This window comes from Homo sapiens, chromosome X (genome assembly GCF_000001405.40).
Source record: "Homo sapiens chromosome X, GRCh38.p14 Primary Assembly".
Taxonomy (NCBI): Eukaryota; Metazoa; Chordata; class Mammalia; order Primates; family Hominidae; genus Homo; species Homo sapiens.
Genome location: NC_000023.11, coordinates 11,180,771 through 11,198,400, shown reverse-complemented (window position 1 = coordinate 11,198,400; position 17,630 = coordinate 11,180,771). Strand labels below are relative to the sequence as shown.

At 38.3% G+C, this 17,630-nt stretch overlaps 1 protein-coding gene across 5 annotated transcripts in view; it reads left to right on the top strand.

Annotated features, from left to right (window-relative positions):
- Window positions 1–17,630, top strand: part of ARHGAP6 (Rho GTPase activating protein 6) — a 528,377-nt gene that overhangs the window by 467,520 nt on the left and 43,227 nt on the right. For all 5 annotated transcript variants that reach the window (NR_109776.2, NM_013427.3, NM_001287242.2 and 2 more), the window contains 4 exons: window positions 1,405–1,476; window positions 9,417–9,673; window positions 11,970–12,165; window positions 16,283–16,338. Coding sequence is in view for 4 of the 5 variants with exons in the window: in NM_013427.3 (NP_038286.2) it covers window positions 1,405–1,476; window positions 9,417–9,673; window positions 11,970–12,165; window positions 16,283–16,338 (581 nt within the window). In the remaining variant the exon portion in view is untranslated. The remainder of the gene's footprint in view (window positions 1–1,404; window positions 1,477–9,416; window positions 9,674–11,969; window positions 12,166–16,282; window positions 16,339–17,630) is intronic.

Genomic DNA, 17,630 nt, shown 5'->3' with positions numbered 1-17,630 from the left:
TCTTTTAGATGTTGTTCATATCTATGAACACATACATAATGGGAGAGATTGACGGCTGTTGCCATCAATTACATTACATTAAAACTGATTTACATAATTTCCCCAATACAAATTGCGTGACTACAAGAGTGAAGATTCTTATGAACTATTTTCTTTTGGTGGCAGGAGAGTCATTTTTGAAATCTTTGAAAAGAAGGAAGGATTGAATGTGCCTGTTGATTATATTGTGATGTTCTTTTTCCTTCCAAAAATGAGGAGTGGGGGACATCTGTAACTCTGTGAGGATACCAGGAATGCTCATTTCTGTTTCATAATGCTTACTCTGTTTTATCCTGATATTATAGTCTTGCTTTTAAATGTATTGGGCTGAATCTCTTTCTTTACATTTTTAGTGTGTCCTGTACAAACAATTCTTAATCATTTTTTTCACCATATGTTTCCTTGTGGCATGGTCTGCATGTCCCCTATTTGATCACAGTGTGGATTCTGAATTTGCACCTCCCACATGCTAAGTTGACAGCTGCATAACCTCAAAACGCATTCTGGCAATGATGAATGCCAATATTTTATGATGACAGCCCAAGAATTTGATTGCAGCTGCCCACTGATATAAGTGGTATCTTTATTATTTGGTGAGTTAAGCAGACACATTAAGTACATTTGTTGCAAATACTAGACTGTAAAAGAATGTATTTCTGACTTATTATAGTAAACAGTAAGAAACAACCAAAATGTTCATCAATGGAGGAATGGTTAACTAAATTGCAGTATAGCTATACCATGGAACTCCCCACAAAGAAAGTAGCCTGAACTGTGTTAGACTCCCTATGAAGAGCTTTATATGTGTTGTTTCATTTAATTCTCACAACAACCTTGTGATATTCCCATTTTATAAATGAGGACACAAAGACTTGTCCAAAGTCACATAGTAAATTGTGCAGCAATAGTTAGACCTAAGTTCTATGGACCTCCAAATCCATTTTCTTATCCAGTTATACTCTCCTAGCTCGTAAATGTCAAAGCTATACATGCTGTTGATTCTCTTCTCATGGAGATTAGGTTCAAGATGAACATTAAGTTATGTAACCACAGAGAAGAGGAAGAGACTTAGATAATAGTAAAATTAAACCTATCTAAATGTCAAAGCTAAATTACTTCCAAATGAGGTAAGTTTCCTATCATTCCATGACTGAAAGGAAATTCAAGAATATACACCAAAATTCTGGTAATATGTGGTATCCAAGTCAGGATTTTCATGTATTCTCAGAGCTGTTACTCTGCTTAAAATGTCAAATTATAAGTGAAGTAAGAGAAAAGCCATGCTTTTGCTCAAATGTAATTATCGATACTGTAAAATATCACTTATATGTTTATCTTTATAACTTCTCCTTTTAATATTTACAGATGGACAAAAGAGAAAGAAATCTTTAAGAAAGAAACTGGATTCACTAGGAAAGGAGAAAAACAAAGACAAAGGTAAAGGGTAAAGTACCCAATGTAAATGCATCTTCCATGGAGCATAATGGTTAAATTTGGTGGGGTTATTGAATTGCATAGATATACGTGGTTCAACTCTGTTATGAAAACTGGATTTCTACAGTGGAATGTCATTAAGGGCTGTTTTGGTCTACTCTTCTGTGTTTGAGCAGCCCTGTACTGAACTGATGAATTCAGCTGGTTTGAGGAGAGTGTGACCTCGGCCAAGTTTGTGGTTCCAATTATTATTTTGACCAATCAGCTATACATAAAGAGGACCTGGGTTGAGAAGCTATGGAGAGCATCTCTAATGCTAACCAGCTGTCTGGCAAATCCAGACAGGCAGGGTTAGTTTAATGAGAGTTTGAATTCACCTACCACCACTACTGGAAAGAAACAGTCTCATCCTCATGGGTTACTGAAGATAGGCCATTCTCAGCATTTTTTTTTTCACCCAGTTGAAAAATATTTATTTGCAACTAACCTGAATGCTTACATTTTACTTTGTTACATTGCCTCAGCCAAGATAGGTTAAAGCAAATGCCCTTAATATTTTGGGGGTCACAGAGCCCTTTAAGAATCATTGACAATGATGATGCTCTATCAAAGGCCTGAAACTCACCCAATGCCCACCCTACCACCCCCTAAATTAAGAATTCCCAGATTAGATATTCACTTGAGTTAACAAGTATTTTCCTTTTTAAAGATCCAGGAACTTTAGGGAATAGTCAGTGGCTATTAGTTTTTTTGTTTTGTTTTGTTTTGTTTTGTTTTGTTTTGTTTTGTTTTTTGAGACAGAGTCTCGCTCTGTCACCCAGGCTGGAGTGCAGTGGCACGATCTTGGCTCACTGCAACGTCCACCTTCCAGGTTCATGCCATTCTCCTGCCTCAGCCTCCCGAGTAGCTGGGACTACAGGCGCCCACCACCACAACCGGCTTTTTTTTTTTTTTTTTTTTTTTTTTTTGTATTTTTAGTAGAGACAGGGTTTCACCACGTTAGCCAGGATGGTCTCAATCTCCTGACCTTGTGTTCCACCCGCCTCAGCCTCCCAAAGTGCTGGGATTACAGGCATGATCCATCGCGCCCGGCCTAGTATTTTTTTTTAACTCTTGTTTTAGGTTCAAGGGTACATGTGCATGTTTCTTATATAGGTAAATTGTGTGTTGCAAGAGTTTGTTGTACAGATTATTTCATCACCCAGGTAAGCACCATAGTACCCAATAAGTGGTTTTTCAATTCTCACTTTCCTCCCACCCTCCACCCTCAAGTAGGCTCCAGTGTGTCTTGTTCCCTTCTTTGTGTCCATATGAACATGTTTAGCTCCCACTTGTAAGTGAATTCTCAGCATTTTTATGTTAGATCACAGTATACTCATCTTTTGCTTCATATGTTTTGGGAATTGTTTACTCTCATCTTACTGTTTTGTGTCCCCTTGTGCATATATTTAGGAAACTAAAACTTTAGCCACTCTCTGAGGTATTTATGGTCATTTAAAACTGATATTCAAGCTCACATAATGGACACCTGAGCCCCATTGACGCAGTCCAATTTTTTGTGCCTTTTTTTTTTTTCAAGACAGGGTCTTGCCCTGTCGCCCAGGCTGGAGTGCAGTGGTGCAATCTCGGCTCACTGCAACCTCTGCCTCCCAGGTTCAAGCAATTCTCTTGCCTCAGCCTCCCAAGTAGCTGGGATTACAGGCACGCACCACCATGCTCAGCTAATTTTTGTATTCTTAGTAGAGACGGGCTTTCACCATGTTGGCCAGGCTGGTCTTGAACTCTTGACCTCGTGCTCCTCCCGCCTCAGCCTCCCAAAGTGCTGGGATTACAAGCATGAGCCACCGCACTTTTTGCTGCTTATTTTTATAGTCTGTTATGAAGTGGTTGCTGAATGGTATGGTTGTATGCATTTATTTTCACTTTATGTGACACAGTCAACGAGTCTTGAATGAGAACAGCCATACACATCTCATCTTGGAGTCCTTTTATATAATGATAGAATTTCTGCTTTAAAAGTAATGGAAGGCGATGAAACCAAGGGTATTAAAACATGCATTGGGATCAGTATTGGACAAGAGCTATTCCATACCATTGATCTCAGTCTCTACACCTATATCTTGAACAGTCATGACATTTGGTTCTTTAGACTAAAAAAAGGTGAAGAATTCTAAAGAATGGAAAACCATTGTTTTACTTCCTTTGGAGTGAGGTTACTCAACCTTGCTACTGTTGTCATTTTAGACTGGATAATTATCTGGGGTAGGGGCTGTCCTGTGTATTGTGAGATGTTTAGCAGCATCCCTGGCCTCTACTCATTAGATGCCAGTGACACCACCCTCAACCCAAATATCTTCAGACATTTCAAATGTTTATCTCAAATTGGAAAAAAGAAGGTGAAAGTGTCAGTGATCCGCACCCCTGACTACACAATAGAATCACTTGTGGAACCTTTAAGAAGTCCAAGACCCACACCCCAGGGAGTCTGAGTTCGTGTTCTTCAGGGATACCTCAGGCATGGGTGTTTTTAAGAGCGTCTAAAGTGCAACTTCTAGATAAGAATTTTGATCCATATTAACTAGGATACTCACCAGGCCACATTCTGTCACAGCAGAATCTGCTGCTGGAATAATGAGGGCTAAGGGTTGTCCAGCTAGCTATTATAGTCTGATAAATTGTGTTATATTTAATTGTTGATATGTTTGTGCCCTTATTTTTGTAATGACCTAAATATTAATAGCCAGCATTGCTCTTTTAAACTAGAGTTTTTGCTCATTCTATTCCTGCAGTAGAGCACTTTTATGTCTCCAGATTAGAGCAATTTTCCATATGTATAGAGCATATTAAAGGGATCACTCAGGTTGGTATTAGTAATGTATTCTCTTTTAAACTTGGTTTATTCTAGGATGATGATATTGATATTGGGATTCAAATACATCTAATGTGGACTTTAGGTGATTTTTCAGAAAGTGTCCATTTGGCTAGACTAAGCAGAATGAGCATTTTTGCAGGAGGTTCCCTCAACAGAATGATGAGATGTTCCCTCAACAGAAGGAGATGTATGTTTGCTTGCATGTATTATATATACAAAGCAGCAGGAAGCAAGAATTTGAATTAACATGGAAGGAAGGGCTAGGGAAGTAATCGAACAATACATACTGGGCCATTATAGATTTTTTAAACTAAATCATATTTACATAGGCTCAGTGAAAACTCTGAAATGTTCTATAGTGCCTCGAAGGTAGCTAAGTGGGAAAAGGAAGGCAGATCCTGGTGGTTCCAAAGAAAAGACATATCACCCACCCAACTAAGGGGAGAAATATCAGGCTTCATGGCAAAACAAAACAAAAAAATTTTAAGTAGCTTTAATGTTTAAAAACAAACTAACCTAGGCTTAAGTGAAGGTTAATTACATGGCATCTTTTCAGAACATAAAGCCCTGTCCATGTCAACACTGAGAGTCATTACATGGATATCCTGGGAACCAGGGTGTGAGGAGGACGGGGTGCCGGTCTGGCACAGATGTAATCTATTCACATTATTTCCTTCCAGTTGCGTATTAGCATTTGGATTTGTAACAGCTGCACATGTGAAAAACGATCATTTGAATCCAAGAGTAAAAGAAGGAAAACAGGAAACTCTAAATGATCTCTTGAGTTAGGTCATCTAAAAATAAATAGAAGCAGCCTTTTAGAATCGAATTGCTCTCCCAATAGTGATTCATAAATGGTTGATATGCTACCATATTAATTGATTTCATCAGAATGAATCATATCCTGTATGTTATTTAATTGCCTTGATATACAGCAGATCTTGTGACACTCCTATGTTCCTCATGCCACTTAGGCAGTGCCCATGTGACTTTTGATTTACATATGGGAACTAATTCAAGATTGACACTGATCAGAAAACATATTTTCATACAGAATAATTCCAAGTCCTTAATTTCTCTTAGTTATATTTCTTGGCAACCAAAAGTGTTTTTAAAACTTTCAGAACTTCAGAAAATTTCTGTGTCAAAAGTAATTTTAAAATTAAGTAATTTTAAAAATAGCTACTTTGTTTTATTAATGTGCTTCCTAAACTGAGCACATGGGGAATAGGTTTTACTATGATGTAACTCTGGGAGATTGTACCCCCCACAACCCCTGCCAGGACATTTTCAGATTATGCCATATATGTATCTACATACAATCTGGAAAGAGTTCAATTCTGGCACTGTTCTTTTTGGTGAAAGCATATTGTATCATGTTTTCTTTTCCTCACTGTCTAGGTATGTAACTGTATGTGAGCTGTGAAGTAACACTATATACAAATAGCTCATACAACTTTTAATTTTGCTCCACATTAAATAGCAGAATAATCAAGTTATCAGTTATCACTATGTAGAAATTCTCAAAGAACATATATTGAATGTTGTCATTGAGTGCTAGTACTTCTAGGATAAGAAGAGAAGAAAGAACCAGGGAGTGTGTGGTTTCTGAGAAGGTTAGGAAGGGGCCAGCTCACACAGTACTGGGCCACAGCATGACTTCTGATTTGGAAGTTCAGGAGAAAGATAATGGTACCTTAGGCTAGGGTGGGAGTGATCGTGGAAGTGGAGAGAAGTAAATGGAAAAAAGAGATAATGTGAAAGTGACATGATAAAGATTTGATGACGGAGTGAAAATGAGATGTAAGAAGGAATGAAGTATCAAGGATGACTCTCAGATTTCTGGTTCTCCCACATGAAGAACAGGCAAACTTTTGGAAATCTGAGTAAGACCTGATAAGGGAAGATGAAGAATAAGAAATGCCTTTGGGACATCCAGATATGAAGGTGGAAGAAGTGGTTGGTGCTCAAGGAAGGGGTCTGAGCTAGAGGTAGCAATGAGGTGTGAAATATCTATGGATGGAAGTTTAAGTTACGGGCATCGTGCTGTCACTTACAGAGAGAGACCAGAGTGATGAGGATGGTTAAGATTGAGCTCTGAGGACCTTCCACATTGAAAACCCAGGTAGAAGATGATAAGCCAGAAAAAGGGGCAAGAATGTAGCCAGAGAGGTAGAGAAAAACCCAGTTAGTATATCCAGGATGCAAAGGACAGGGAGCATTTCAGGAAATGGCGATCAGGGTTAAAGGCTGACAGAAGGGCAAATGAAACAGAGCTGTCAAAAACACTGAATTTAATGACCCTGAAGACAGCAATGATTTAGAGGGAGCTGCTTTAGAATCTAATGGAGGTACCAGCTAGACGGGATGAAGTGAGGAAAGAGTGGTAGGTGAGAAAGTTATAAGCTAGAAAGTAAAGGGAACACTTTAGACAATTTTAACTGTGGCAAAAGGAGAGGGGGTAAACCATGGAGAAAAGAAAAGAGTGGGTCGAAGGTTGTTTATTTTTTTAAGAAATAGCTGCTTGAATAAATTTAGTACAAAATATCTAGTAGAAAAAAAGAGGTTGAAGATACAGGCACAAGAAGATGTAATTTATAGCAGGGGTGGCCCACCAGCCGTCTTTGTAAATAAAGCTTTACTAGAACACAGCCATGCCTATTCATTTACTTACTGTCTGTGGCTGCTTTCCTGCTAAACTGGCAGGTCGAGTAGCTGCTACAAAGACTGCAACCTGCCAACAGTGCGGAGGCTGGAGTGAGACAAATTGAGCCCCTAGGCTACAGAATTGAAAGAAATGCCAAGTCTGCATGCTGACTCTGCACTTGCCCCACGCTGAATGCGAGCACCTTATCATTTTGCATCCTAGCCATTCTAAGCCCCAGCCGTATCCACAAAGCCTAAAATATTTACTATCTGGCCCTTTACAGAAAATTGCTGAACGCTATTTATACCTAAGAGTATTAGGATAATTTTTTTGAGCTCTTGAGTGCAGTACACCATTATCCATGGTTTAAAGTTATCCATAGTTGAATGGCAGGTGGGAAAGCATGGGAACCAGGGAGAGGCAGAAAGGCTGGCAGGATGCCAAGTCACACCTACATCTCATGCAAAGGAGGGTGGTGGAGGGCACAGGTACAGCAGGTGTGAAGAGTTGGAGCCTTTGCACCTGCTGGTTGCTCTTCTCCTGAAACAGGAGGCAGAATTATTTGCTGGTGGGGAAGATCTGCCCCAGAGGTATAAGAAGTCTCTAAACGAGTCTGGTTGGTTTTCCTTAGATGGAAAAAAATGACTGGGAAAGGGCTCAGTAGTCCCTATCTTATAGTAAATCCCTGCCATGCATATGCCCACCTGAGCAGACATGTCACTTGCTACATTTATCAATGTTCTTTTCACTCTTATTATCCCCTCTGTTTCTGTTATTTCATGTAGCTGTCAGCCTTACCATCCACATGTTTCCAGACTCTTCCAACCTTTTAAAAGTAATATTTGATCATTTCTACAGACAAGATTATATGTATGTGTGTGTGTGTATGTATGTGTATATATAGAGATATATCTATATAGATATATGTATATATATATATATATATATCTCCTCAGGGTACATAACAGGAGGTCTGGTACTATCCCCTTTGGTTTCTAATTTTGCTAGTAGTAGACACAGCCTATTATCAATAGTGAGAATTACACCTCACTACACTGTCTAAATTGATCACTCAAAGGAGAAGTACCTAATTATTTTTTATTACCATATATCACCTAGCTTGTTGCTAAAGAATGGCAAGCATCCTCTGAAAATCCCGAAATACTAAAGTTTTGACTTTTTTACTTCAAAACAAATTGCATGCTTTGATAGAACCAGAGGTGCAGGCTTTTCAAGTAGCATTTCTGCTTTTAATGTAGACTTGGTCATTAGCCCAGTGATGTTTGAAATATTGCCATGGATCAAGGAGGAAAACCTTTTAAAGTCTCTTTCTACCTGATTTAATGTTAGCTTTTTCTTTCAAAGAACAACCAACCTTAGAATTATTTTCCCTTGATCATTTTAGTTTCATTCATAGGGCTTATAAAAACAATGGAGAGGTTAGATTCCAACTTACTGCTGCTAGGAGACCTAATTTGGAGTCTAAAAAGAATAATACATTTGATTACATTATTTAGTGCCTTTCAGCATGAATCTAAAATATTGCCAATAAAACTCCTGGCCCTAAGGATCCAAGGTACATGTATACAAACAGATTTACGACAGAAATTCAGAAAGGAACTCTATGTATGTCTCCAAATAAAGCCATTGATTTCTGCACTATGCCCCTTTCCCCAAATTCTCCTTACTAAAGGATTTAACAAATTGTTTCCTGGGCCTCCCACCAGATATTTAGTGGCTGAGTCCACTCTGCATGTGGCCAGTAGAATGGCTTGAGTGTAGATCACGAGAGTGACAGCCCCAACATAGCTGGCTGGAAATAGAATGTAGGGATGAGGAACACAACGAAAACAGAGTGGACTTCTTCCCAACCAGTTCCCAAGCTGCTCCTCTGCCTGTCAGGTTATCATTTCACATGCTAACTCTTACTGGGAACCTCAAAGTGTATTCAGTTAACTAAATTTCAGCCTTAGTTTCATGCATCTCTCTAACACCTGATACTCACTCTGTTATCATGATTTGCATTTCTGATTATCCACTCCTTCACCCCAACCCACACTCTGAACACCTCAGGAGAAAGGACTGTACCTTTTATAAGCTTTGCGCCTCCCATTGCCTAGCTTGTTGTGGCATGTAGTAGGCATTCAATAAATGCCTGTTGAATGAATGGATAGACTTGAAACATGGAGAAAAACTAGAGACCTAAATGTCTAAGATGTGTGTTTATAAATACTAGTTTTCTTTATTGAAATGGAAACTTGGGCCATTCTGATTAACACAAATGTCACCTTTTTGATTGATGAGTCAATTCTTCAGAAAACATTCCTTTGAATATGTCTGTTCTTACTTAGGTCTGAAACATAAATGAGAGTGTTCACTGGACCAGTCAGTCTCTGAAAGTGAATGTCTGTTTTTTGATTCCAGAATTCATCCCACAGGCATTTGGAATGCCCTTATCCCAAGTCATTGCGAATGACAGGGCCTATAAACTCAAGCAGGACTTGCAGAGGGACGAGCAGAAAGATGCATCTGACTTTGTGGCTTCCCTCCTCCCATTTGGAAATAAAAGACAAAACAAAGAACTCTCAAGCAGTAACTCATCTCTCAGCTCAACCTCAGAAACACCGAATGAGTCAACGTCCCCAAACACCCCGGAACCGGCTCCTCGGGCTAGGAGGAGGGTGAGGTGGCCAGTATTTGCTCTGACACCAGTGCTAGGAAAACTGAAGATGTACAGTTATTCTTTGCGTTTTTGTTCATGTGAAAACTGGATATGTAGTTGGTGTTCAGGTATCTGTCAACAATGCCATTAATGAAGAATGTGCACTGGGCACGTGGCACCTTGCATAGCCTCAGACCTTGTCCTGACTCCTCTTGAAGCTGTTGGGTGTCCCTCCTTTGTCACATCTTTGCTCCATGCTCTCCTAAACATTCGGCAATATCACCATTAATTCTGGTCTCTTGTAATCTGTCAGTCTTGCCATACTTGCCCACTAGACTGTGAGGCTCGAGGGCAGGGCCTGGTGTTTTAGCTATTAATACTTTCTTCATCACCAGTCTGAGAACATGCCTGGCCAAATGAATTGGCGGTGGGTCTTCATAAACAATGAGCTTTTTCTTTATCAATGGAGCATTTCTTTTTCTCAAACAGAACCATAGAATCCTCTATATATCCTCTTTCAAATACTCTAACTATATGGTACCAATTGTTAAGTACTATGTTCTAGGTACTGTGCTATTATTTGAATTGTTCATGCAAACTGGTTGGTGATTGGCTGAGTCAGTTGATAAGCATCTCTAAAGCTTCCAGGTCACTGGAAGATCTTCTCTCCCTTTTGTAAAACAAATCTGCATTTTATTTTTATCTTTTATTTTTTGACTCAGGGTCTTGCTCTGTTGCCCAGGCTGGAGTGCAGTGGCATGATCACTGCTCACTGCAGCTTCAATCTCCCGGGCTCAAGTGATCCTCCTGCCTCAACCTCCCCGGTAGCTGGGACTACAGATGCGCACCACCACGCCTAGCTGTTATTATTATTATTTTTAGTAGAGATGTGGTCTCATTGTGTTGCCCAGACTGGTCTTGAACCTTCGAATTCAAGTGATCCAAAGTGCTGGGATCACAGGCGTGAGCCGCCACGCCTGACCCTCTCTCCCTTTTTCCTCTGTCACGTGGAGACCTGAAATTTTTGCCACCTCCAGCTGTTGAAGACTGCCCTAGTTAAAACCCCAGACACTTCCCACTTAAAACCAACATTTTTCAATCAGCCCCTAACATTTAGGGCTTGTCCAAGGTAGAGGGGGACCTGATCCATTGCTGTTTTTGCAGTATTGACTATGTTTAAAAATGAAGAAATTACAAAATTATGGAATTCCTGAAGTTGCATGATGGAATTGTTCTTCTAATTCTGTCATTGTGTCTCAGACTGTGTATTGTCGTACAACAATAACACTAAAACTCTAAATTTTAGCTTTCTGGGAATGTAGGACTCAGGCAATGGTTTTCCCAAATGCCCTCTCGTCTGTCCAGGCCTGGCTAGCCAACTGCTTTCTCAGTGCTTCATCAAGTATGGGTGCGGCAAATGCGACTGGTGCCCTGCTCCCTTTCCCTGACCCTTTACCATTCCTAGCATGCCAGCTCATCTTCCATCTGCCAACACCTTATTTATTTGCTGAGGGCTTTCTCTGATGCCAGAGGCACCCAGCCTATCCAAATGGCAGGCTGTAAGTACTTAGGAGATAATATTATCTCTCTGCCCCCACCAGAGGCTACCCTTAAGCAGTGATTCCTGAGGCCTGGTGTATAAATACCCCAGCTCTCTCACTTGATAGGGATAGCTCTAAGGTGCATGATCTACAGCTGTCTCCTAGAGCTCCCCAGAAAGATTGAGCTCCAGTTGCCCACAATGATAATAGGCTTGATAATGCTCCCTTCATCAGCTGCCTTTCCTTCCTTGTCTCATTTCCCCCCTCCCCTACAGGTGTTTCCCAGGACCACTTCTCTAATAAAGCACTTTGTGTTGTTTCTCGGGAAAACTAAGCTAAGGCTGTTTTGTGGAATCATTCTATTTTAAAAATATACTTCCTAGAGCCATAGTTGAGTTTTTTATTTACAAGACTTCTCTGACTACCTCATTGATTGAGTATGTAATTTTTTTCTTGTTTCAAGAAATGAAGTGGTTGGGCCAAAATACTTTAATTATATGTTTCCCATCGCTTGTTCTTCCATTTGGAAAATGTTGTCTATTGTTGAAATTGTAACTGCCATTAGCTTGAGGAAATCTTGTAGAGGTTTTCTAACTTTTTCAAAAGGCATCTTTTTTCTTTTAATTTACAAACAGAACAATTAAAGAAATCAAGCAGTAGTATTTCAAGTGTGATAAAGAGTCATGAGCAAAAGTATGTATTGGTTAGCATCTGGGGGCAGCTGGGTTTTTTGGCTATCTGTACTTTATGTTCACGGCTCTGTGTCACTTGCAGGGTGCCATGTCAGTGGATTCTATCACCGATCTTGATGACAATCAGTCTCGACTACTAGAAGCTTTACAACTTTCCTTGCCTGCTGAGGCTCAAAGTAAAAAGGAAAAAGCCAGAGATAAGAAACTCAGTCTGAATCCTATTTACAGACAGGTCCCTAGGCTGGTGGACAGCTGCTGTCAGCACCTAGAAAAACATGGTAAGTAGACTTGTCTGTCTAAAGTACTAAGGACTTTCATTTATTCAAGCATCATTCACTGAAGTACCCAATGTCAATTCTGCTTGATCAAATGATCAAGCTCTGAACTGAAATTTACTGTGTGAAAGTGTACAGATGTGAGTGTTTGCTTAAGAGATTGTGGGGCTAAACAAGATTGGAGAAGAGGGTGAATCAACTTGATGATATTCAGACTGCTTAGCTCCCAGTAGTCCTCAGAAGTTACCTTGGAGGCCAAGCAGTTTAGGGAATGATCAGATCTGTTGGGCTGGGTTTGTCACCAGGACCTCTTTCAAACAGACCAGAGCCACTTTTATTGTTTATACATAAAAGTAGCCTAGGAGGTTACTCACAAAGTTTCCTTTAAAAAGTAAGAGTCCAACTTAAAAAAAAAATTGGGGAATCATTGCTTAAGTGAATAGAAAATACATCATTTTTGACAACAGGTTTACATATTGCTATTTGCATTTTTGTGGAAGCTGTCCACTTAAAATTTCTCCAAGCCACCCTTTGCAACTCAATTCTAGTTACTAAGTTGACTTAAGAATGATATACAGTTCTTCAAAAATGTTTCTGAAATTTAGACTTCTGGCTTATTAACTGCCATTTTCATAAACTAAGTTTGTATGCTATAGTGTTTGTTAGCACGTGTTTTATATACATGGGAAAAGCTTAATTACTTTTTTTAACTGTAAAAATAATATGCTCATTGTAATAAAAAAGTAAACGTGAAAGCAAAGAAAATTCTGAGGCTACCATATAGATATAACTACTGTTAACATTCTCATCTATTTCCTTCTAATAAAAATGGAACTTTATTTTAAAATCATTAAGGATATATTTAAATTTCTTAATTCATTACAATGGAAATCATAGGATAACATATGGATGACCTAATAAAACTAATGTAGCAAAATCTTATTTGTTTATACAAAATTTTAAGTGTAGGTTCTTTTAATTTTTTTCACCTTATCTTTCACTTGCCTGTGTATCACCTATGTATCTTGAATATACATCTCTTTCTCTATACACACACATACACACACACACACACACACACACACACACACACACAGTCATGCACCACATAATGACATTCCCCTCATTGACTGACTGCATAGGCAATGGTGATTGCATAAGGTTATAATACTGTATTTTTACTGTACCTTTACTATATTTAGATACACAAATACTTAAGATTTTGTTACAGTTACCTACAGTATTCAGCACAGTCGCATGCTGTACAGGTTTGTAATGTAGGAGCACTAGGCTCTACCATATGGCCTAGGTGTATAGTAGGCTATACCATCTAGGGTGGTGTATGTACACTCTATGGTGTTTGCACAATAATGAAATTGCCTAATTTATTGCTTCTATCACTTTGGAAGCTTGAAAACCGGATAATCACACTATTTAGAATAAAATACAGGATTATATTTCTTCATCTGCAAAATGAACGTAAGTACCCACCTCAAAAGTTGTGCAATGATTCAATTAATTAATGTGCATACAGTACTTAGAATAGTACCTGGCATATATTATTATATAGAGAGAAATAGACTCTGAGTGAACTGAATGAATCTTCTATGTACGAAATAGAAAACTTCAATAGTAGGTCACAGTAATTTTAATTTTGGCTGCATTTATTTTTTTATTTTCACATGGTTTCTGAATAATTAAAATTTCTACAGAAGCAAGATATCACATAAGGACATTTTCTACACAGGTGGGACTATTCTCTTTCTACCAAGAGATAGAAAACACAACTAAAACAAATTGAGATGTTTACTTTGTTTCTGGATGTAAAGAAATAATGTTATAAAGATTTAAGGCTGGGCACCGTGGCTCACGCCTGTCATCCCAACACTTTGGGAGGCCAAGGCAAGAAGATCCCTTGAGCCTGGGAGTTTGAGACCAGCCAGGGCAATATAGCAAGACCCCAATTCTATATTTAAAAAAATACAATTCTTTCTGATTTAATTATATATTGTACTAGTCATAAATTTTTCAGTGGCAAGAGAAAGGAACTCAGAAAAAACTAGATTAAGCAAAGTGACCTCCCCCAAATAACAACAACAATCTTTATATACTGGGAGCGTGATCTAGATTTAGGCACGGCTGGATCCAGGATTCAAACGATGTCATGAGTGTCCTCTGTTTGCTGGCTTTATTCTCAGACAGTTCTCTTCATGTGGCTTCAAATGGCGGTTAGCAGCTCCAATATCCCATCACTCTCATAACTGATTGTCTCAAATGAAGAGAAAATGAGCCACCAATGAAAGAATTAATATACATGATGCTCATCAATGGCAATGATCAATGACTGGCATAGAAAAAGGAGAGCCATTCAGACGTTTCATGCTCCCAAAGGAAGTACACAATACTTTTTGTGAAGTATTCTTGCCCTATAAAATCACACCGCAATCAGAGTAATGTCTGGCTCTAGCTATCTCTTTACAGAAAATAAAAGAGGGAGAAGAACATACAAATGACACTATGGAGTGTCCAAATCCAAACAATATGAAGATCTACAGTAGGAAATCACTGAGATTTCTTCACCAAAACAATTATAAGGAAAAAGGAGACAGAGGGAGGAAACACAGATTAAGAGACTAAAAGGCACATCGACCATATGACAGTGTGTGACCTTTATGTGGATGTTGACTGGAAATTTAATGCTATTAAGGAACTATTGTTGAAATTTCTAATATGTGATAGTGAAATTACTTGTGTTTTTAAGAGACCTAATTTTTTAGAAATGAGTTTCTCAACCTCAGCACTGACACTATATTTTCACATCTAGGACATGATCCTAGGAAAAGCAATCAGAAATGTGAACAAAAACGTGTGCACAGAATTGTTCACAATAGGGTCATTTATAGTAGAAAAATAAGCATGTATATTTTGGGGACCTGTGCACCATTCAGAGGGGAATATGGAGTAAATTATGGCCCATTCATACAATAGAATATTTTGCATCTTTTTTATATCTCCATAGATTTTGGGGGAACAGGTGGTATTTGGTTACATGAGTAAGTTCTTTAGTGGTGGTTTGTGAGATTTTGGTGCACCCATCACCCGAGCAGTATACACTACACCCAATTTGTAGTCTTTTGTCCCTTTTAAGTGACATTTATAAGGAATTGTTACTAGCATGAGTGAAAATTCATGCGACACGATAGTGAGGGAAGGCAGTAACATTCTCTCTGTCAATAGATATTATATATATGCAGTGTGATCTCAACTATGTAAAAATACCTACATTCATGTAGAAAAGGCTGGATTTTAAAAAATGAAAGATTAGCTAGGCACAGTGGCTCACACCTGTAATCTCAGCAATTTTGGAGGTTGAGGCAGGTGGATCGCTTGAGCCTGGGAACATGGCAAAACCCTGTCTCTCCAGAAAATACAAAAATTAGTCAGGCATGGAGGCATGTGCTGGCAGTACCAGCTACCCTGGACGCTAAGGTGGGAGAATCACTGCAGCCCAGAAGGTCAAGACTGCAGTGAGCCGTAATCACGTCACTGTACTCCAGCCTGGACAACAAAGTGAGAATCTATCTCAAAAAAAAAAAAAAAAAAGAAAAAAGGAAAAAAAAGAAAGAAAGAAAAGAAAAGAAAATGAAGAGTGATTATTTCTGCATCAGGTATTTCTAAAAGTATATTATTTTTACATTTTTCCGCATTTTCTAGATTTTCTTTAAGAAGCACACTTTAATTATGATCAGACGAACAAGAAATATCTTTTAGAAATTAATAAAGAGTTAGAATCCCTATAAAATGTGTGTTTAGGTAATAATTCTGGATAATGGACAAAAGCTCATTTTCTCTGATAAGGAGAAGATTAGAAATATAAAATATCACAAGAAAAATATTTGATCAGAAACATTTAACGTAAAATTCTGGTGCTTAAAGGGCTGACCTTTAAGTATCTGGATAATAGAAATAGTGTGAGATGAAAGAAGCATTACTGTATGCTGTCAAGTTACTATTGCTCTACATGTTACGGCACTGTGCTGGCATTCTGCTCTGTATTTTGATTTCCTCCAGGGTCTCAAGCCATGAAACAAGACTGTTCATTTTGTTTGCTTATTTGCAGGCCTCCAGACAGTGGGGATATTCCGAGTTGGAAGCTCAAAAAAGAGAGTGAGACAAGTAAGTGAAAAGTAAAGATTATATTTTGTTTCACATGACTTTCAATTGAATTACCTTTTGCAAAGTTCAAGTTTATGCAAATTCCATTTTGATTATCTTTTTTTTTTTTTTTACCCTCCAAGCTATTATAATATAATTGAATTCCAGGAGGTAAAAGGCAACAACTCAGAAATGTTGTTACAGTTAGGATCAAACACTTGAAAGCAAAATGTCTGGATGTATCTGTGCCACGTGCAGCCAAACAAAACTAATTTATAAACATCTTATTGAAAATTGCAAAAGCAGGAAATTCAGAGTGACTGATCAATAAATGATATAAAGTTGTATGTAGCACCCGCTTTTACTAAAATGTGATATGAAAAATGCCATTAACATTCCCTTCACATAAGATGCTATGTTTATAGCTTTACTTTATCAAAAATAAATAATTCTTATGAAGTTTCCATAGAACCATTGACCCCCAGTTTGCTTTTCACATAGAGACTGTGCTCCTTTGTTTCCTTCAGCCCTGTGCAACATTCCTGCAACTGAAGTTTGATATTAGACCTTCAACAATAGGTTCCTGTGATGAGGCAGGTATTTGTGTTCATGATGGCTTCATAAAAGGCAAACCATCCTTTGAGAAAAGAGTTCATTTGTTGGTGAAGGAAAATTAAAGCATTATTTTCTTCCTGTTGTTTTCAATGGAAGGAGATAAGGAACTCAGCAACTCAAAAATGAATTCAAATGAAAATAAATTTTAGTTGGAAGAAGCTGAAGAAATGATATTTGTTCATATTATTGAAAGTAATTGAAATAAATACCTCATTTATCTTTTTTGTCAAGACAAAAAAGGCTTTCAACAGAAATATGTTTTCTGATTGGTTGGTTGGTTTTTATTCTTAATAGTTACACAAGAAACATTAAATGGATCAACATTTAATGTTTCACAACAGAACTTGCAGGAAGAAAGATAGTACAGTAACATTTCTGTGCAGAATTGCAGAATATTTTTACAAATATTATCTCACTGAATCTGCCAACCGGCTGTGAGTGTAGCCCCTTTGACCCACTTCTGTCAAGGCTTATAGAGATTAAGAAACATAATTCAAGATCACACAGTTTAACCAGTCACCATTAACTTCATAGGCCAAACTCTTTGCATGTTCCATTCTTTCTGCATGTACGTATACTCAGAAAAGAAGCATGGTGTGTTTGAATGATCACAAGTTGGAGGAGTGCCAGTGGAAGTCTTCTTTGTTTTGGCTGCCTGACACACGCTGATGGCGTGCTGTCTGGAATCAATGAGTAGT